Source organism: Homo sapiens, chromosome 2 (genome assembly GCF_000001405.40).
Source record: "Homo sapiens chromosome 2, GRCh38.p14 Primary Assembly".
Taxonomy (NCBI): Eukaryota; Metazoa; Chordata; class Mammalia; order Primates; family Hominidae; genus Homo; species Homo sapiens.
Window position 1 is genome coordinate 240,138,212 of NC_000002.12, and position 21,561 is coordinate 240,159,772.

General features: G+C 55.6%; 1 protein-coding gene across 3 annotated transcripts, besides 3 other annotated features; it reads right to left on the reverse strand.

Moving 5' to 3' along the window:
- Nucleotides 1-814: 814 nt before the first annotated feature.
- OTOS (otospiralin) lies at nucleotides 815-2,447 on the reverse strand. 3 transcript variants are annotated; one of them, XM_017003410.2, is made up of 4 exons: nucleotides 2,409-2,447; nucleotides 2,058-2,151; nucleotides 1,851-1,877; nucleotides 815-1,143 (listed from the first exon to the last, which is right to left on the reverse strand). In XM_017003410.2, the coding sequence occupies exons 2-4, from the start codon at nucleotides 2,113-2,115 to the stop codon at nucleotides 959-961; spliced, it is 270 nt and encodes an 89-aa protein (XP_016858899.1). In that variant the 5' UTR covers nucleotides 2,116-2,151; nucleotides 2,409-2,447; the 3' UTR covers nucleotides 815-958. The 3 variants fall into 3 exon arrangements, with proteins under 3 accessions (XP_016858899.1, NP_683764.1, XP_016858898.1); NM_148961.4 differs by having other exon boundaries at nucleotides 2,058-2,233; XM_017003409.2 differs by having other exon boundaries at nucleotides 2,273-2,447.
- Nucleotides 1,117-1,841: an enhancer, noted in NCBI's record as "H3K4me1 hESC enhancer chr2:241078745-241079469 (GRCh37/hg19 assembly coordinates)". NCBI's record gives its function as "activates a minimal SCP1, AML or CMV promoter by ChIP-STARR-seq in naive H9 embryonic stem cells {active_cell/tissue: H9 hESC(naive)}" and the evidence as "EXISTENCE:reporter gene assay evidence [ECO:0000049][PMID:30033119]".
- Nucleotides 1,842-2,565: an enhancer, noted in NCBI's record as "H3K4me1 hESC enhancer chr2:241079470-241080193 (GRCh37/hg19 assembly coordinates)". NCBI's record gives its function as "activates a minimal SCP1, AML or CMV promoter by ChIP-STARR-seq in primed H9 embryonic stem cells {active_cell/tissue: H9 hESC(primed)}" and the evidence as "EXISTENCE:reporter gene assay evidence [ECO:0000049][PMID:30033119]".
- Nucleotides 16,871-17,370: an enhancer, noted in NCBI's record as "H3K4me1 hESC enhancer chr2:241094499-241094998 (GRCh37/hg19 assembly coordinates)". NCBI's record gives its function as "activates a minimal SCP1, AML or CMV promoter by ChIP-STARR-seq in naive H9 embryonic stem cells {active_cell/tissue: H9 hESC(naive)}" and the evidence as "EXISTENCE:reporter gene assay evidence [ECO:0000049][PMID:30033119]".

The following is a 21,561-nucleotide window of genomic DNA, read 5'->3' on the forward strand; positions in this document are numbered from 1 at the left end:
CCCTGAAGGACCCAAGTGAAAGTCAGTCCGATGGAACAGGGGCTTGGCAGTGACTAAGAAGATTGACCCATTAAGTCAAGGTCTTTACTAGCTAAGGGGTGGAGCTGTGGGTCTCCACGGTCTGCTTGTACACCCTACAGGGATGGGGGGCTCACCACCTGTGCAGAGGCCATCCTATTGCTGGAGGCCCATCCCTGAGACACCATCGTGCTGCCTGCCCAGTCTTCCAGTGCCCCAGGTGAAGCCCCCTTCCTCCCAGCATCCTCAAAGCCTAGAGCCGTCCCTGGAAGACAGAGCCTGCCCAGGCCCCGCTGTCCCTGACCGATGACAGATACAGGTGGGGTTTCTCAGTTCCGTTTCCTGCTGCCTCCTGGGCACTGCTCCCAGGGGTGTGTCATGGTGTGGAGTCAGCCTAGCCCTGACTGTGGGTTTGTGTGCTGCCCAGCTTAGTGGCCCAGAGCGGGGGTGCCTGGACTAGAATCTAGCTACCCCCTAACCAGCTGTGTGACCTTAACAAGTCAGGCTGTGACCGCATGTCTCTGCCTCAGTTTCCTCACCCGTAATCTGGGGGAACTGCAGTGCCCCCTAGGATCATTGTGGGAAATGGATGAGTGAGAGACACAGAAAGCCAGTCCTGAGCCTGCCCAGGATATAAAATCCCTTGTTGATGCCAATGTGGATGGAAATGTTGCACATTTATGAAAGAGTTTATGAAAGTGCTCCCCAGGAATCAAAATAAAACCAGCTTCATTTGTGAAATAAAGTAAGTGGGGCCTGAGCGCAGCTGTCCTTGAAAGACAACCCACAACGCTGGTTGTGCATCTTCAGTCCGGAGTTTATTGAGCGTGAGACCAGGCCTGACTCCTGCAGGGGCCAGGTTTTTGCGGGGACTCCATGCCTGTGGAGGCCCGACCGAGTGCAGCCTGGCGGGGTGGGCGGGCACCAGGCTGGACACCATTCAGTCCTCCTGATAGGGAACGTGGAAGCCCAGCGTGCTCCCCAGGGGGAAGTGGGCAAAGAAGGTTCGGGCCATGTCCTCGATCTGGGGGTAGGCCCCCAGGGCCTGGAAGTGCTGCACATAGTTCCAGAAGTCAGAGGTGGAGAAAGGCCAGTAGGGCATGGCCGGCAGCTCCGCGTAAGGGTCTGAAAGACACAAGACACCTGCCTTGGGGGCTGTCCCCATGGTCCTGCCTGGAGACACCATCCTCAGAGGTCTCAAGGCAAGTGGATGGTTCCCAGCTCTACCTACAGTGATACAACCTTCCCAGAGTGGGGGCCTGAGCCCATCCCCTCTCAGATCCTTGGGGATATCTGGTCGGGGAGACAGAGGAAGAAGAAGAAGGGGAAGAGAGGGAGGGAAGCCCTGTCCTGTTTGAGGAAGGAGTTGTGTGGGGAGGGTGTGGGGCACCAGCAGCCACCTGCTGGGATTTCAGAACAGAGCACAGACACCCCACTCCGCTACCCCCCGTATAACCTGTCCTAAAGCTTGGGCAAGAGCAGCCCTGAAGATACTGGACTGAGCTAGGGCTCAGAGTTGGGAGGGCCTGGGGGCTGGAACCCAGGTCTGATAGTGGGAATGTCAGGGGTCATGGGGCCCTGGCTCCCCCTGCCCAGTGTGTTCCCTGGTGGCTGGAGGGCAGGGTCCCAGCTGGAAGGAGCTCATAGACCCTCTGCTTGCACAGCTCCAAGCTGGCTCTCAAGGGCCATGTTTTCCATGCTTGGGCCTGAGCTGAGCCAGGGCCCCTGATGCGTCTGCTTGGGATAAGAAGCTGCTGCTCTCCCCAGCAGTTTCTCCCCGCTGCATACCAGTTACTTATGCAAATGAAAGGAAAGAAATTGGAGAACGGTACCTCCTTCCTCCTGCACAGGCTTGGCCCCTGCAAAGGAAGAGAAGAGCTGTCACCCAGGAGGACCACCCAGGTGCCGGTTGGGCCCACCCGACACCAGCTGCAGGGCTCTAAGGTTTCCTAGCAGCCTGGGGATGCATGCGGGAGGGGAGAGAACAGGAGGGCTGTCGGGGGTCCTGGTGGCTGCCTCCCTCCAGAGCGGCCCCTCACCTGCAAGAGGCCCCAGTAGGAGGCAGAGGGCCAGCCCCGGCACCATGCAGGCCTGCATCTTCCCGGTGCTTCCTGATCTGCGACTCAGGCCCACCTGCAGCAGGATGAACCCAGGAAGGGCGAGACCACCCATCCGTCAGGGCCGGCTTCCTCTACCAGTCCCAGTGTGGGCAGCCCTGGGGAAAATGGCATGGATTTAAAAAAAAAATTCTTACTGTTTTCCTAGCAATTTCCATTTCAGTGGTTTCAAACCACTATTTGGAGGTGAAATCCCTGCCTCAATTGGCCTTAATTCCCATGACTTAAGAAATTGCACCCCCCTCCACTCTGCCTGGCCTCTCCAGAGCTTACCTTGTCTCTGCTCAGCCAGCCGTGCTGCCTGGATGGGCTCTGCTGCCAGCTCAAGAGTCCTCTTTATAGAAGGGCTGCAGATGAGGAAGGACACGTCACCTGCCTGAACAGTCAAACTGAATATTTCATCCCCACCGGAGGACTGTGGGCTCCTGTCGCCCTGCTGGCAGGCACAATCAGAGTGTCAATTTCTGGGAATCTGATCCAAAGTTCAAACTGAGAGAAAAACATCTTGGCTCGGCCATTTCTGAAATTGTTAGGACTGAATTCAGCATTGGTACTTGAAACAAACCCAGTTTACTCTCCGCAAGGAGCGATCCTACGTCCAATACCGGGGCTGGCTGAGATTTCCTCCCTCGTGAGGAGGAGCTGAATAATTCCAGCGCTGCTTCCACTTAAACCAGCAGGCAGGAGGAGCCCCCGTCAGCGGGACCTGCCTGCAGGACGTCCACTGAGCAGAGCCCCAGCAGAAAGTGTGGGGTCAAGATGGACTTCCATCTCCAGGTGGGAGCTTCCCTGCGATCCAAAGTGTCAGTCTGTAGGTGGGCAGGAGGCTGTCCCCACCCTGGGACACCAGCAGCCAGCACCAAGGGTCTCTGTGGGCAGGGCCATTCTGACTACACAGCTGCCCCACTGACCACATCGGTTCCTATGCTGACCTGTCTTTCCAGTACATAGAGCCTCCTCCTGGTCCTGCTCCTTGGGGTCCCGCCACCCCACTGAATCAGGGGCCGAATTTGCTGTGGCGGTCTCCCCTGTCATTCCTGGTCACCCTGGGGGCTGTTTAAGGACTCTGGGAAGCTCCTCACCCATGTGTCCCATGGTTCTGGAGTTCATCACAGTCTGCTCACATGTCCCCATCCAAATGATTAAGGGCTCATTTTTCCCCACACAATGCCATACATTTAACCAAAGATACCCAGAGAGGTGGTTAATTTAATTCAGATGGTAAGGCAGCCATCCACGGATTAGATTTTGGGTTTCCTTTTCAGAAATCTGGAGCCTGTGGCTACAGGAGGCAATGGATTCTTTCAGGGCAGTTGTATTCGGGGTCACCAAGAGCACCCAGGTCAATGATTCACTAGGAAGATGCCCTAGGAGGACTCGTGGGACTCAGCATCCTCTCGAGGACCCCACGGGATGCTCTCCATTCCCCAGCACCACGTTGTGGTGACACCTGTGGAATCTCCCCATGAGGGGAGCCCTTCAGAACCTCAGAGCCCAGGGCTGGTCGTGCAGCCCCCTCTGACTCGTGCATGTGCAGATCTCCGACCCCCAGGAGGAAGCAGGTGCTTAGCACAACCATTTGTTGGCACATAGAGCTTAGGGGCAGTGGCCCCTCTGAAATCCAGGTGCCGAGGTGAGGACCCAGGCCTGCTCGTCGCCCTTCCCTGCACAGCTCAGAAGATTTCTGGTTCCTCACCTGCCCCCTGAGCTGGGAATTTAAGCTCTGCGCTCGTCATTGTCTTTTCGCAGATTCGGCAGCACACTTTCCAGTTACCAACCAAGCCCACGGTCCTTATTTCCGTGGCTTCAGCTGCTTGGTCACCCAAAGTCCTGCTCTCTATAGCTCTGTTTTGCACTGGGTGGGTGACAGTGCCCTCTTTTCCATGGGAAATGGAACCAGTCTTCGATCTAGTCAAGCCAGAGATCCAATTCCAGATTCCACCCTGAGCATTCCCATCCCTGGGCCCCTCTCGAGCACCAATACTGTGTCCAGCTGGGTTGGGGAGAGTGTGGCCAGACACGGAGTGAGCTTGCTACAGGAATGGGCCTTCTGCGACTGTGGGAGGTGGTGAAGAAGGGAGGGCCTGGGAGGGCGAGCCGGGAAACAGTCTGGGAGGCCCTGTCTGAAAATGCACAGCCCAGCATCGGCGGTGGGCCTAGGACCTCCGTGTCTAGCAGGGAAGGTGGGAGCTAGATGCAGAGGGGAGGAGGGTGAGGGTGGGCCGGGCCCTGCCGCAGCCTCTGACCGTGATGGGGCCGCCAGAGAGGATGGGCCTATCATCCTTCTGTTAATAACCGCATGTCTGAAGATGATGTGAAAATACGCCTATGGCGTTAGGAAAGATGAGATATGATAGCATGTACCATATCTTTATAATGACTGAATAAAAGACTATACGTGGAAAAACTCTAGAAGTAGTAAGCAGTGATGGTGTTGGACGGTGGACCTATGGGCGTATATATGTGGTTTTTCTTCATTCTGGGTATATGTATGTTCCTTAATTTATTATTTTTATGTAAGGAAAAAAATCTTAAAAAGAAACCACCCAGCACCACCAATAGCTGTATGCTGCTGATCACTCGGGCTGTCCTGGTCCATCTTGCCACTTGCACTGCCCCACCGCCATGCACTGTCCTGCTTCCTGGGTCCTGCAGGACCACTCTCTTGAGAAGATGCTTCCTGGGTCCTGCAGGGTCACTGTCCCTCGCTGGCCTGGACACAGCCTTCCCTGGCCCTACCCAGAGGGCCCCGGCTCCCCTGCACCCTGGAGGGCACCACCCTGGCCACTCACTCATCATTCCTCTCTCACCTGCTCTCTTGCAGCCCAGAATGCCCTCTGTAGGGGTTTGCACACCAAGCTGTGTATATTGTGTATATCGTTCTTGTTCAGTGACAGCCCCTACAGCAATGGTTCTCAAACTGTAAGAATTCCCCAGGGGTCCTGTTAAAATGCAGGTTTAATTCAACAGGTGGGGGGCCTGGGATTCTGCATCCCTAACCAGCTCCCAAGAGCTCAGGATACTACTGGTCCCCCAGCACACTTTGGGCTGTGAGGCACGGGCAGCGGTTCTCAGCCTGGGGGTCAGAGTCCCCTGGGGGCCTGACCTCAGAGTCCCTGGAGTGCTTGTTAAAATGCAGGTCTCTTTCTGGCCCCCTCCCACTCAGAGTTCTGATTCACGCGCTTGAGGGACCTGGGAATCTGCATTTCCAACACGTCTCTAGGTGGTGCTGGGCAGGTCCAGGGCCACCATCTCAAGCAGTGGCTCTTAACCTTGGTGGCACATTGGGACCACGTGGGAGCTTTTGAATAGTCAGGATTTCCAGCCTCCTAACGTGAGATTCTGATTTAATGGGTCCAGGTCTCGGTGGTTTTGAAATTTCTCCAGGTGACTCTGCAGGGTCTCTGCTCCCCAGCCCCAGCTCCTGCCCCTGCCCCGCACAGTCCCCACCCATCGTGGATGCATCGGAGGCCTCTGGAAGTCTCGTCTACCTGGGGCGAGAACATGCTCACACACACAAGACTGTCTTGGTGGGCACTGGTGGGTCCCAAGCCAACCAGGCAGAGCCGGGCTGCGGGCGCCGCTGGCAGTGCAGAGATCGGGTGGTCTCTGGTGCCCCCTGCTGTCCAGCTCGGGAACACCAAGCCTGGGCTATCGCGGATGTCACTGAGCCTGGGGTGGCCGGGCCTGTGCCCAGCCCACCTCTGTTTCCTGGAGGAACAGGCCAAGCACAGACACTTGTACATGATTTAAAGCCCTAAAGACACAGTCCCCCCGGACATGGGCTCTGGAGGGCTGTGCCTCCTGCGTGCTCCTCCCTGTCCCCTTGTCTTGGTCTTCACTGAATGCCACCGACTGGGCATTTATAAAGGACAGGGGTTTGTTCAGCTCACGCTTCTGGAGGCTGGAGAGTCCAAGCCTGGGCAGCCACCTCGGGGGAGGGCCTCGTGCTGCTCCACAGCATGGCTGGGAATCAAAGGGGCCCCCTGGCGAGAGGCAGCCGAGCTTGCCTTTATAACAGCCGCGCTCCCGAGAGGGTCGACCCACTCCCGACAGGAAGCACCAGCCCCTCTTCACGGACAAACCCGTCCCAAAGGCCCCGTCACGACACCGCCATCATGGTGACCAGATTTGGACCTGTGTTCCGGAGCAGACAGGCCATATTCAAACCACTCACCCCTCGGCTGCCAGGGAGGCTTCTGGCAAGTCCACGCTGCTCCCACGTCTGGCCTCAGAGCCCAGGCTCCTGCTGCTGACTCACTTCCCAGCTCCTCTCTCTCCAGCCCGCCATCAGGGCCCCAGGAACGTGCCCCCTGCTTCGGCACTGGGGCTCTGCTTGCTGCCTGGAACCTGTCCACCCCTCCCAGCAGCCCCACTGATCACATCAGTTCCTCTGCTCACCTGTCTGTCCCATAAGTACAGCCTCCTCCCAGGACCCTCGGGCAGCCTCCTCCACTCCCACCCCAGCCCCCATCCCTCTGTTCCCTGTCCTTGTTGTCCTCGGTCCCAGCAGGTGACACAGCCTCCTTGCAGCAGCCCACCCCCGCCCCCATCACCCTGTCCCATGTCCTCGGTCCCAGCAGGGAACGCGGCCTCCTCGCAGCCCATCCCAGCCCCTGTCACCCTGTCCTGTGTCCTTGGCATCCTCGGTCTCAATGGGGGACATGGCCTCTCCTTACGGCCCACCCCGCCCCCATCCCCCTGGCCCATGTCCTTGGTGTCCTCGGTCTCAGCAAGGGATGCGGCCTCCTGCCTGGCTGTGTCCTGCCTGCCTCCTCTCCGAACCTGTGTTAGTGCCTGGTCCAGGTCCACCCAGCCAGTCAGTGTCAGAGCCCACCGTGCCTGCAGGCCGACCACCCTGCTGTCCTCGCTGAGCCACAGGGAACGCGGCCCTCCCCACCCTCACTGCCCACTTGCTTCTCAGCTGCTGTCTTCTGCCCCCTCCATAAACCCGAGGACAGAGCCCAGGTACCCAAGGAGTAAGGATAAGGGCGCCCTCTGACAGTCACCTACGTGGGTTCCCAACCCCACCGGTGCCGATTGTCCTTGTTATTTTAATAAAATAACGAAATGTCTTGATTTCTAATGAACATGAAAAGAAAGAGCTTTTTGGATTAAAACTAAGCTGACTTGGAGAGGCCTACTTACAGTAAAAATCACGAAAAACTGTCTAATTAGATGTGGGTGTGACAGCTTTAAAAGATTAGAACCAAAGTAGTGAAAATCCAGCTGGACCTGACTTTGGATTGCAGATCACGGGCGTCCGAAGGCTCCGTTCTCGGGAAACCAAGCTGGGAATGAGGAGGGGACGTGGCGGAGGCGCACCCCAGGGGCGCTGTTCTCACCGGATTCTGCACAGCTGGGCCTCCTGGGGTACCATGCATGGCAGGAGATGGTCAGAGAAAAGCCCCCCGCATGTTACAAGACGGTCCCATAAAGATGGCAGATTTGAAAGCTAAACTATTTAAGGCCCATTTGCTGCTTCTTTTAAAAAAAGATATAATTCCTTCCTTTAACCAACTCAGAATTCCTGACCAGGTCCCAGTTCAGGGCCTGAGAGGCTTCTCCTGAAACAAAGGGGAATCTGGCCTGGGGTCGAGTGGGGCTGGGGTTGTGGGGGGCCCTTGGGACCCTGGTCGTCCTGAAAAAAATACAAGATGCCATGTTAGATGTAAATTTCAAATAATTAATGAATACTTTTTTTAGTATAAGTGTGTCCCAAATATTGCCAGGGACATATTTATACTGATAAGCATCCTTGTTTAACTGAAATTCCAATTTTACCTGTTTTTCTTTCTTTTTCTTTTTCTGCCAAATCTGGTAACCCTGTGCAGGACAGAAGCATGTGGACCCGCCTGGCCCCTGGCTCCATGCCCAGGTCTGGCCAAAAGCCAAGGCTTTGAGCACAGGCTGGCGGGGAGAAGGGGCTCCAGGCCCCCGACCACCAGCGTGGCCCTAGCCCTGGGGGCAAGGCGGGCAGCTCCCCACGCCCACGAGGGTCTTTTCTGAGATGCTTCCTCCTGGAACTCTAGGGTCATGGTCATTACACGATGTGAGCAGATGGGCTGCAGCCCTGAGCCTCCCTGTCAGCTGAGGCCCCTGGCCCAGGGACTTATGGCTGTCTGGAGCTGGTCCGGGCTGGGCTCATCACAGAGAGAAGCTGATAGAGCCAGAGAGGCGGGCAGGTCACTGCTGGCAGAGCCTTCTTCTCTCAGACTTGGAGCCAGGGATGGGGACACAGGGCAGAGGGAGCCCTCCCATGACTCAGGGAGAGAAGCACCAGCTTTCCAGGTGGGCTGTGACAGGTGCCTGAATCCCACGACAGGACCCACACTCCACATGCCATGACACAGGCACCTGAGGACCCTGCGCTGCTTGGTGGAAACATCACCGAGAGGCCAGCCAGGGCCCCAGCGCCTTGGTGAAGCAGGAGGAATCTCCACGGGCACAAGGCTGGGCTGGGGTGGCCTGGCCTGGCTGCGCGGGAGGAAAGGGACCTGGGAAAGGGAAGGGCCCACGGCCCCCACACCCTTGGAGCAAGAGAAGGCGGGAGACACCCACTCATCTTCCTCTTTCCAGAGGACCCAGAGCCTCCAACAGCCACACCCAGACACTGCATCAACATTTAGCCAGTGTTGTCTTAGCCTGAAGAATGTGTGTGTGTGTGTGCGCGTGTGCATGTCCATGTGTGAGGTGGTGTGTGTATGTCTGTGCACACGTATGTGCATGTGTGTTTGTGTTTGTGTGCTTGAATGCATGTGTGGGATGTGTGGGTGTGGCATGTGCATGGGTGTATGTCTGTGTATTGTGTGTGTGGGGGGGCCTGCATGAGTGTGCTGTGTGCTATGTGGGTGGGGTCTGGGATGTGTACTTGTATGTGTGCATGTCTGTGTATTGTGTGGGGGGGCCTGCTTGTGTGTGCTGTGTGCTCTGTTGGTGGGGTGTGTGTATGTGTGCATGCATGTGTACTGTGTCCATGTGCATGTGTGTGCTGTGTGCTCTGTCGGTGGGGTGTAGGTTGTGTGTGTGTGTACTGTGTCTGTGTGCATGTGTGTGGTGTGTGTTAAGTGGGTGGGTGTGGGGTGTGGGGTGTGGGGTGTGTGTGTACTCTGTTATTGTGCATGTGTGTGTCCGTGTGCATGTGTGTGTTGTGTGCTGTGTGTGTGGTATGTGTGTGCATGTGTGTGTCCATGTGCATGTGTGTGTTGTGTGCATGTGTGTGGTGTGTGCTATGTGTGTGTGGTGTGTGTGCATGTGTGTGTCCTTGTGCATGTGTGTGGTGTGTGTGTGTGTCCGTGTGCATGTGTGTGTCGTGTGCATGTGTGTGGTGTGTGCTATGTGAGTGTGGTGTGTGTGTGCATGTGTGTGGTGTGTGTGTGCGTGTGTGTGTCCTTGTGCATGTGTGTGTCGTGTGCTATGTGTGTGTGGTGTGTGTGTGCATGTGTGTGTCCGTGTGCATGTGTGTGGTGTGTGCTATGTGTGTGTGGTGTGTGTGTATGTGGCCGTGTGCATGTTTGTGGTGTGTGCTATGTGTGTGTGGTGTGTGTGTGCCTGTGTGTGTCCGTGTGCATGTGTGTGGTGTGTGCTATGTGTGTGTGGTGTGTGTGTGCGTGTGTGTGTCCGTGTGCATGTGTGTGGTGTGTGCTGTGTGTGGTGTGTGTGCGCGTGTGTGTCCGTGTGCATGTGTGTGTCGTGTGCTATGTGTGTGTGGTGCGTGTGAGTGTGTGTCCGTGTGCATGTATGTGGTGTGTGCTATGTGTGTGTGGTGTGTGTGTGCCTGTGTGTGTCCGTGTGCATGTGTGTGGTGTGTGCTATGTGTGTGTGGTGTGTGTGTGCGTGTGTGTGTCCGTGTGCAAGTGTGTGGTGTGTGCTATGTGTGTGTGGTTTGTGTGTCCGTGTGCATGTGTGTACCCATGTGCGTGTGTGACATGTGTGGTTTGTTGCATGGGCATGTGCTCTACCTGGGAAGTGACCCAGGCAGTGGGAATGTAGTACTGGGAGCAAGACAGCAGGGAAGGAGAAACAGGGTGAGTCGCGGGCTTGGTGCTGCTGCGGGCAGCGGGGGCATGCCCCGGGGCTTCTGATCCTCAGCCTAGAAGGAGGCGTGTGTATCCACTCCACTGTCTCCCATCTCCACTGGCGGGGGGCTGCCCCATGGGATAAACTCCCCCACTTCCTGTTTGGGGTGCCTACTGGGCTGCTGCAGGCTTCCAGAGCAGTTATCTCAGAGAAGTCAGGGAGGAAGCATGAAGTAGGAGCAGGCGCTGCAGGTGAGGTGAGGACTGTGCCGCAGGGCAGGTGAGGCCTGGGCAGAGCGCATTGTTGTAGCTGAGGCTGGAGTTAGAGGGACCATGAGGAGTGAGGTGGACGAGGAGGTACCCCGATCCGTGCATCCCTCAGTCCTCCTGACATACGGGTCTCTGGGGACACGGGGGCCAGCTCCAAGGGGGACCCAGAGCCAAGCCAAAGATAGAGCACAAGAGACCTGCCTGCCAGAAGGCAGAGCGTGACCCTCGGAAGGCCATCAGTTACCTCCTTGTTTGATCAGATAGGTAGATACTTGCTTCAGGTGACCCGTCCCTGGGTGGGAGTGGGGAGGTGGGTCTCTTCCCACAACAGCATCACCGCTTGGTGAGAAAGGTCTGCGCCATTCCAGCTCACGTCCCCAGCAGCTGCTCTGTGCCACACCCCTCCATAGACTGTCCCCTGAAATCCTTGGCTCCCAGCAGGGTCAGCGCTGTTCTTATCGTCTGCATCTCCCTGGAGAGGAAACAGGCTCTACAAGGGAAGGTACCTGCCCAGAGTGCACAGCCAAGACTGGAGTGGGATAATAAGCCCAGTCTCAGGGCAGCCCCAGCAGGTAAGGGTCAGACCACCCTTCCTGCCTCTCCCAAGACACTCCTCTGTCACCTGCACAGAGGCCCACTCAGAAGGCCTGGGCAGGGCCTGAGCCTCTGCATGGATGCCCTGGTCCTCCAAGAGCCCTGAGCAGGGCCTGAGCTTCTGCACAGATGCCCTGGTCCTCTGAAAGCCCTGGGACTGCAGGTTGCTGATGTCTCCCGAGGCCTCCCAGACAGAACTGTGCGGCCCCTCCTGTGAGGCCAACTCTGTGAGTGCTGCTGCTTCCTCACTGCGGTGCAGGGGTCTGGGGCTCCGTCCGTCCAGGTGTCTGTCCATAAGAACGCCCAGGGGGCTCTCTAAGCCATGGCTCTCAAAGATAAACAGTGGCAAGACAACTGCAGCAGCTTACCAGGGGTACTCGATTCTAAATTTGCTCACACTCTGGGTCCTCGACCATGGGGCCAGGACGCCAGCTTCCTGGAAGAGGAGAAGGCAGAGGAGCCCATAAGGACTTGGTTGGAAGGGAAGGGAGGTGCTCTCGTCCCAGCTCCTTGCCTCCTTCACAGCTGGCCAAGCACAAGGCTGAGACTCATGGGCAGCCCTTGGGGTGGGACCACCCACCCCTGGACATTTAGCAAATGGGCATTTGGGATCTCCAAAAAGGAAGAAATTCCTATTGCACAACCCATACGGATTTGTCTAAGATAAACTTTTCTCCCTGCGTTAGTTTACCACCTGGAAAAAGATTCCCAAGGAACACAGGTGAGGAAGGGCTAGTTCCAGACCCAGCCCGGAAGGACACTGTCATCCTCTGTCACTGGACATGCGTCCCCTGCCCATCCCCACAGTCACCCTGTGTGCCCACTGGCTCTTGCCATCCCCTCCTGAACCTGCCGATGTGGGTCCCAGTCCAGGGCAGGATGCCTGGAGACACAGAAAATCAGGGTGTGCAGGGGAGGTTGGCCCCTGCCTGGTGACATCCATCTCTGCCTTTGGAGAGAGCTCAGCGGACTCGCAGTCAGCAGATACCTGGACAGAAGGAGACCTCCTCCACCCCTCCCTGTCTCCCCTGGGGGAAGGAGGAGCTGGGTCAGACCCTTGCTAAGGTCTTTCCAGGTTCTGATTATCTGGGCTTTCAAGAAACAGAAAGTCCTGAATGGGGATGGAAGTGCACTGGCACACCAGAACCAGGAGAGGGCAGCCCTGCGCAGGAAGCCTCGGCCCAAGGCCACAGGTCCCAGTGGGTGGGCAGGTGAGGTGGGGAGGGGAGCCTGCAAGCTCCCTGGGGCACTTGTGGTGCTGCGCTGCCTGTAGGTAAGGGTGGGGGGTCCAGGCGTCCCTATCCAGGTCTGTTGCCCAGCTCCTAGGGCCGTGCACTGACTGGTCCCACCTTGCAGATGAGAATGGAGGCTCAGAGGGGTGAAAACCCAATGGACGAGAGCTCTGGAGGTCCCCCCAGTTAGGTCCCTCCTCTGGGAGAGGCACTCTCCAACTTTGACCCCAGCCCCTCAAACCCAGCCTTCCCAGGCCGTTTTCCCACTGGGGTAACTCAGCCAGACCCAAAGAAGTGCTCTAAACCATTTCCAGTTCAGGATCTTGGAGTGTCCTGGTTTCTTGTGAGATCTCAGGCCAGTTCCTGGGGTCTGGCAAGCGGGTGACAATGGCCAGGTTCACCCCACCCAGGCTGCATCACTCCTGCCCACCCAGAGCCCACACCCTGGAAAACCGCACCTGTCTCTGAGTCTCCAGAACACAGGGGTGGTAGGAGCCCTCTGCACCTGACTCTGAGTCCCCGGAACACAGGGGTGGTAGGAGCCCTCTGCACCTGACTCTGAGGCCCCGAAATGCAGGGGTGGTAGGAGCCCTCTGCACCTGACTCTGAGTCCCCGGAACACAGGGGTGGTAGGAGCCCTCTGCACCTGACTCTGAGGCCCCGAAATGCAGGGGTGGAAGGAGCCCTGGGCTGGGACTTTGCCAGAGCACCCTCCCACCTCTGGCCAGCTCCTTCCCAGCTGCTGCCACTTCACCCCTGAGCTGTGCTGAGACCACAGGTGTCTCATGTGAGAGCATCTTGGCTTCTGGGTCTGCCTCTTACTAGCTGTGGGACCCTGGGCAAGTTACTTAACACCTCTGTGCCTCAGTTTCCCCATCTGTTAAATGGTGGTGACCCTGGGTTGTGAAGGAAACTAAAGAAGAGGGGTCCCTGGCACACAAGAAGCCCTCAACAAAGATACGCCTCGTTGTTGTCAGAGCTCACCGTCTGCAGCTCATATCACCTCCACCTCCCAGGCAGTGACACACGAGGCCCTGCAGTGGCCAGTGGAGACTGGGACTCGGGAGTCTTCCCAGCCCTATGATGCTTCTGAGAGGAGTCACTGCCACCTCTCAGAGGCGGGGGACACTCCACTGGGTCACAGCTCGGGGTCTGCCCCTAGCTGGGGTGGGTAGAAGGACTTGTGACTTGTACTCCGATGGGGTGGGGCGTGAGCCTCGAGGAGAGGGGGCCTCAGAAGGATCCTTGCAGGGAGAAATGCGACGGTTCTTCCACCCCACCAAGAAGACGTGTGAGAGACACCAGGCGGACGTGCAGGGAGGGAGGGGCTGAGCCTCCTAGGCTGGCTCATGCCCCAGGCTTGGAAGGGATCCCTACCGGTGAGTCTGGCCAGGCTGTGACAGGCTATGCGACTGGGCAGGACACTCACCATCTCCATACCTCAGCTTCCATATCTGAGAAGAGTAAAACAATAGGATTGTGTCCAGGAAGCTCCTGGCATGTGGCGTCAGCTCTCAGTGATATCCACAAGGTTCAAGGTACAAGCCTGCATTTAGGGAGGATGGGGGAAACACGGTGGCAGGATCGGGGTTAGAAAGCACTGGCGTTAGACAGCATCGGCTGAGACAGCACTGGGGTTAGACAGACGTTCTGTCCATGAAACAAAATGGGAGGCTACAATGAAAGCTGCATTCTGAAACAAGGAACATTACTGGCCATTGAAAATGCAATAATCTAAATTTTAAAAATTAGCAGAAAGGTAAGAAGACAGCAAAAGTCTCTCCTAAAATAGAACAAAAAGACAAAATATGGAAAATTGCTGAGAAAAGTAGAAACATTAGAGGCTCAACTCAGCAGAGCCAATGTCCACAGCAATCATGAAAATATAGCAAGTCTCCTTCCGGCGAAGGAGAATAGCGTCTCTGATGACCAGGCTCACTCTCTGCCCTTTTCCTCTCTTCCTTTTTCTCTTGCTCTGTCTCTGAAGTCAGAATCCTCACTCTGGGAGAGGCCAGAAGAGGAAAAAACCCACAAGAAGGCACAGCTTTGGACCTTTCAGGACACTGGAAACCAAATAAAAGCTTACAGGTATCCAACCTGCAAGGGCAGATCACATAAAAAAGGCAGGAACTCAAAAAGCATCAGGTCCCTCCATGGTCACACTGGAAGCTGGGACGTATGGCAAGATGCCCTGAGTACTTCAGAGAGAACCTAGAATATCACACCTAAAAAGTGACCAGTCCACCATTAGGATTGAAAAGGGTATTTTCAGACCTACTGGGACTCAACATTTTATTTCCCATGTTCCCTTTCTTAAGACTCTACTAGAACTGTGTTTGGGTGACATAGTGTACAGAGAAACTATACGATACAGAAAACAGGTTGCACAACTCAGACGAGAGGTGAAGGGAGTCCCCCAGAGTGGCAGGTACAACTCAGGTCCAGAGAATCAAGACTCCAGAGGAAGGGGCAAAGGTCCGAAGAGGGAAATTGCCAGGAGAAAAGGAAAATGGAAACAATGGATTATCTGGTGTATTTCAGCGTTTGAAAATGTATTGCTGACATTTGAGAATTCTGTTAAAACATTTGGAATATAAATAGGCACATAGAAAGCTAACTTTTTGTTTTTAAATAAAAGCAAGGCAATAACTAACTCCAGGAAAATAAAAATGTGCTCAGAAAGAAATACCATTAGAATGCACTACCTAGCTCAGTGTTATGTTTTACTTACATGATCATGATCCCATGAGGCATGAATATTGATTTAACCCAAACCATGATATAGCTATACTGGGAGGAAGAGGAAATGAAAATCAGTGTGAGACAGCAACAATTCAACAGATAAGGTCTAAGATGACAAAGAGAGAGTGGTGCATTAGTTACCTATTTCAGAGTAACAAATTACTCCCAAAACACATTGGCTCTAGAAAACAGACCCCAAATCACAAGTGTTTATTAGTTCATGAGTGGGTCAGGAATCCAGGCACAAGACCACTGGGTCTTCTGACTCAGTGTCTCTTGCAGGTTATCAGCTGGAGGACAGTCACCTGAAGGCATGACTGGGGAAAGATCCACTTCACTCACATGCCTGTCACCAGGATTCAGATCCCTAATGCCTGGTGGCCTCCTTGCCACATGGCCTCTCCATAGGGCCGCTCCCATCAGGGCCACTGGCCTCTCCCAGAGTGAGGGTTGTGACTTCAGAGAGGGACAAGAGGGGGAGAGCAAGATGGAAGTCTTTTTGTAACCCGTTACATTTGCCATACTCCACACAGTTGATCCATCATGACGCCCTGCCCTCACTCAAGGGGAGAGAATTATACAAGGGTGTGAACACCAGGAGCCAGAGGTCAGTGGGGACCATTGCGAGGGCTCCCTTCACTGGAGATGTGTATTGGTCAGGGTTTTCCAGAGAAACAGAACAAATAGAATATCAGTAGGATGTGTGTGTGTGTGGAGAGAGAGAGAGACTTATTTAAGGAATTAATCCATGCAATTGTGGAGGCTGGCAAACTCAAAAGTCCATAGAGCAGGCAGCAGGCTGGAGACCCAGGGAAGAGCTGAGGTTGCCATCTTGGGTATAAAGACTGTTTGGAGGCAGAATTCCTTCTCTGGGGAAACTCAGTCTTTTCTCTTAAAGCCTTCAACTAATTGGATGAGGGCCACTCCCATTATAAAGAGGGATCTGTTTTAATCAGTCAACCGATGTAAATGTTAATCTCATTTTTTTTTTTTTTTTTAGATGGAGTCTCGCTCTCTTGCCCTGGCTGGAGTGCAGTGGTGTGATCTCAGCTCACTGCAAGCTCTGACTCCCTGATTCAAGAGATTCTCCTGCCTCAGCCTCTCGAGAAGCTGGGATTACAGGCATGTGCCACCACGCCCAGTTAATTTTTGTATTTTTAGTAGAGACAGAGTTTGACCTTGTTGGCCAGGCTGGTCTTGATGTCCTGACCTGGTGATCCGCCCGCCTCAGCCTCCCAAAGTGCTGGGATAACAGGCATGAGCCACCGTGCCTGGACAATCTCATTTTTAAAATGCCTTTGCATTGACATCTAGACAGGGGTTTGGCCAAACAGCTGGGTACCACAGACTTGCCCAGTTGACACATAAAATTAATGCCATTAAAGGTGTTCTTTGGAAATACTGCATGTAGGTGAAAACTAGGGGAACAGCTAGCAGAGGTGAGAGTGGGTGCTTCCAGGAGGTGGGGTGGGTGTTGCGGAGGGTGGGCCCACAGCATTGACCCTGTGCTGTAGGTGCAGAGGGCTGGGGGCTGAGTGGGCACAGATGAGCCAGTGAGGCCCTGGGCTCAGGAAGTGCAGGGTGGGGCTGAGATTCCTCTGTACGCCCAGCCCCCGCTGGATGTGATGCCCCAGATGCCAGCAGGAGGAAAAGGGTTTGAAGAGCGGGAGCCATAGTGTGGAAGGGGAGTAGGGGGTCCCATCCTGAGGGAAACTGGAAGGCATGACTGAAGGCCGCGGGCCGAGCCTGAGCCCACGGCAATGGGAATGGTGCAGCAGCCACCATCTGGGATGCAGGCAGCTGGGGATGCCAGGGAGGGGGTCTGGCCAGCAACAGACCCCAGGGGATGGTGGAATCTCCTCCCCCAAATTCAAGCAGCCGGTGGTGTTTATGAGGCTTACAGGCAGGCCAGGGGCTCCAGAACCCTGCCTTGCCAAGCCTCCTAATTGAGGGAGGGAGACCCAAGCTGGGCCAATTCTGTGTAGCCTGCAATAGATCCATTGTTCACCCCTATTCACCGCCACATAAAAGCCGAATTTGTGGGAACCAGGGCTCAGTGTGTTTCTCAGCCTGGCTGAGGCATCCGGGCGGTGTGGCCCCGTCATGCCGCCGTTGGGGCCCCCCTGGGCTCTGCAGCCTTTGAGGGCCTCTGCTGGGAGTCGGGCACCAGCCCATCGCCCTCCTCCCTCTGACTTTTTGGCTCTCGCCTCTCTGATGTTGTTGGAAACAGGGAGATTAAAGAGCAGGTTGCCTGTTTCACTTCTGGCTGCTTGTCCTAGATTCGCTGATTCGTCCCAGAAGCAGGTATTGTGAGCCCACAGGGTGGGGAGTCAGAGGCGCTTGCTGGGCCAAGAACCGCATCTCGGAATTAAAGGGATGGAGATGCCTTTGAATTGTGCGCTGAATCACTCTGGATGGCTGGGAGGCAGCTCTCCAGCCCACTGGCCTTGAAGGCAGAACCTTGACCCCTGCTCTGCTCCCAGGGAGATGCCAGCCACTTACCCCACAGGCAGGCCAAATGATTGTACACACTGCAAAAGGAGATTTATATATATTTTTTTTTAATGAAAAAAAGACAATCGCCTCTCATTTCTCCAGGTCCCTTCTCTGAGCAAACGCTCCGTGCTAATGGCCCAGTGTGGACAGACCCTGTCCCCCTCCCTCCTGGGCCGGGCTGGGCACTGCAGGCAGATCAGACCACACACATTCATCCACAGCTGCATTTTCTCATTCAAGGATACATTCTGGACATCTGCCAGGTCAATATATATTAGACTCATCCATTCATTTTGTTAGGAAAAAAATTGGGGTGAGGTTGGTCATCATTGTGGATAGAGCTCCCGCATGAGGCCCCAACAGACCAGATCAAACCAAAATGAAGGCACTCGTGCTAAATGCCACATAATGAAACTGACACTTTAAAGAAGCAGATAGGTCCCAAGCAGACCAGTATTTCCTGAAAACAGGAGATTCCAGTCTACCTGAGTCAGGTAATAAGTACGTCTCCTCCGCTCTACCCCTTACACAAAAAGCCGTCGCCGTCTGCCTCTTGTTCTGATTCTTTGTTCCCACCTTACAAAACCTGCTGTTCTGCCATTGCCTGGTGGGAGTTCTCATTGTGTTTTGTAGAAACAGAATCGGAGCTCTGCCCCGATTCATGAAGAGTGAATAAAAGCCAATTAGACCTATAAGCAGATATGTTGTCATTTTGTCTCCTGACATTTCTGACAGCTGATAAACCTTAGTACAGGACTTCTCGGCCTCAGCACTGTAGACACTTGGGGTGGACCAAGTCTCTGTGGTGGGGCCGTCCTGTGCCCTGCGGAGCGTTCAACAGCATCTCCGGCCTCCGCCCACGATGTCCAGGAGCGCTCTCCAGTCTAGACAGCCCAAATGGTCTCCAGACATCGTCACACTCCCGTGGGGCCCTGCTCAATTGTGTGCACACACCCACGTGCATTCGGCGAATTTCTGCGCGTGCGTGCCCAGGTTACTTCCAGGACCTCGCAGCTCTAAGCGGTGAATCTCTGCAAGTGAGGGCCCAGGTTACTTCCAGGACCTTGCAGCTCTAAGCGGCGAGTCTTCTGCGGGTGCGTGCCAAGGTTTCCAGGACCTCGCAGCTCTAAGCGATGATGCTGGAAACATCTTGAAATATACCTGACATTCATGATTTTACTTTCATACAATTGATCCCTCCCAGTGAACCTGCTGCGGAAAGGCAGACTTACCTTGTCACGACGCCTAAGCTGCAGGACTTGTGCAAAGCTGCCCCCGTGATCTGGAAAGCCCAGCAGTGTGTTCACAGTCACGTGGTTTGATAGATTTTTGCAAAACAAATCAAACCAAACCTTGATGTTTTCAGGCAGCCAGTTAAGCCCATTGTCTTTGCTCTGCCTGCCCTGGCATGGCTGTGTGGTGGGCTGGCTGTGTGGGGCTCTTTACTGTGGGTTTGGTGGACCATCTTTATGAGGTTTGCAATCACTTCTGGGCAGAGCCAAGCCACTGTAAGCTGTCCCAGGTCCTGCCCACTATGCTGGCTGGCTGGGGATGGTGACATGAAGGAGCGGGCCTGAGGTCACATCACGCAATGAAGGCATTCCGCAGCTCGCTGTACCAGAAGTGTGCGTGTAAGGAGGGCAGGCTGTGCACACAGGGAGCTGGAAGCCACTCTGGGAAAGGGTCTGCAGTGGAGGGAGGGTGCAGTTCTTATCAGTGCATTAGCAAAAGGCAGTTGTCTTCTGCCACAGGCCAGGTGCACAATTAGAAACTCACCATACGCTTTTCCCCACCTTTTCAAAAAATGACAAATGGCGAAAATGGAATCCCTGTGATTGTAGGGCAGAAACCTGCAGCGACATGGCAAAATCCAGGACACCTGAATGCGGGGCACATGTCACACGCAGCCCCCCACGGTACCACATCCTGACGCACCTGAATGTGGGGTACACGTCACACGCAGCCCCCCACGGTACCACATCCTGACGCACCTGAATGTGGGGTACACGTCACACGCAGCCCCCCACGGTACCACATCCTGATGCATCTGAATGTGGGGTACACGTCACACGCAGCCCCCCCACGGTACCACATCCTGATGCACCTGAATGTGGGGTACACGTCACACACAGCCCCCCACAGTACCACATCCTGATGCACCTGAATGTGGGGTAGACGTCACACGTAGCCCCCCAACGGTACCACATCCTGACGCACCTGAATGTGGGGTACACGTCACATGCAGCCCCCCACGGTACCACATCCTGATGCATCTGAATGTGGGGTACACGTCACACGCAGCCCCCCACGGTACCACATCCTGACGCACCTGAATGTGGGGTACACATCACACGCAGCACCCCCACGGTACCACATCCTGACGCACCTGAATGTGGGGTACACGTCACACGCAGCCCCCCATGGTACCACATCCTGACGCACCTGAATGTGGGGTACACGTCACACACAGCCCCCCACGGTACCACATCCTGACGCACCTGAATGTGGGGTACACGTCACACGCAGCCCCCCCACGGTACCACATCCTGACGCACCTGAATGTGGGGTACACGTCACACGCAGCACCCCCACGGTACCACATCCTGACGCACCTGAATGTGGGGTACACGTCACACGCAGCCCCCCACGGTACCACATCCTGACGCACCTGAATGTGGGGTACACGTCACACGCAGCCCCCCCACGGTACCACATCCTGACGCACCTGAATGTGGGGTACACGTCACACGCAGCCCCCCCACGGTACCACATCCTGACGCACCTGAATGTGGGGTACACGTCACACGCAGCCCCCCACGGTACCACATCCTGATGCACCTGAATGTGGGGTACACGTCACACGCAGCCCCCCATGGTACCACATCCTGACGCATCTGAATGTGGGGTACACGTCACACACAGCCCCCCCACGGTACCACATCCTGATGCATCTGAATGTGGGGTACACGTCACACGCAGCCCCCCATGGTACCACATCCTGACGCATCTGAATGTGGGGTACACATCACACGCAGCCCCCCCACGGTACCACATCCTGACGCACCTGAATGTGGGGTACACGTCACACGCAGCCCCCCACGGTACCACATCCTGACGCACCTGAATGTGGGGTAGACGTCACATGCAGCCCCCCCATGGTACCACATCCTGACGCACCTGAATGTGGGGTACACGTCACACACAGCCCCCCACGGTACCACATCCTGATGCACCTGAATGTGGGGTACACGTCACACGCAGCCCCCCCACGGTACCACATCCTGACGCACCTGAATGTGGGGTACACGTCACACGCAGCCCCCCACGGTACCACATCCTGACGCACCTGAATGTGGGGTACACGTCACACACAGCCCCGCACGGTACCACATCCTGATGCACCTGAATGTGGGGTACACATCACACGCAGCCCCGCATGGTACCACATCCTGACGCACCTGAATGTGGGGTAGACGTCACACGCAGCCCCCCACGGTACCACATCCTGACGCATCTTGGCCTGAATAGGTCTGGGGCTTCCAGACACAAGAGAAACAAAGTTCATAGAGTGATGTGAGGTCGCTGATCAGGCCACATGAGGCATACCCCGTCGGAGAATCTGTGAGGCTTCTTGGAGAGTCACTCAGCCAAGCCCCGCACTTCTACCTCCAGGATATTCCCCAACCCGGTCGGCTCACGGTCCTCCTGCTGCCGCCCCACCCCATGCCCACCCTGGGAGCACCCGAGATCAATTTACCCAGCAGCCGCTGAGTGACACTTAGACACTCCTGCCCTTCCCCAAACCCCTGCAGAGCTTCCGATGGGGCTTCTGACGGCCTGGGACAAAACCCCGAACCTTAGCCTTGCCCGCCTCTAGGGCCTCCCTGGTCTTCCCTCAGTCCCTCAGCACCAGGGTCCTTTCCTGATCCCCGGCCTTTGTCCAGCGGTTCCCTCTGCCGGATACTCCTCTGCCTGCCCCTGCCTGATGCCCGCCTGCCCAATATCTCAGCTGAAGCATCAGAAACGTAGGGGTAATATCAGGTCTGCCGGCTCTGCTTGCTTTTTTATTTTTAT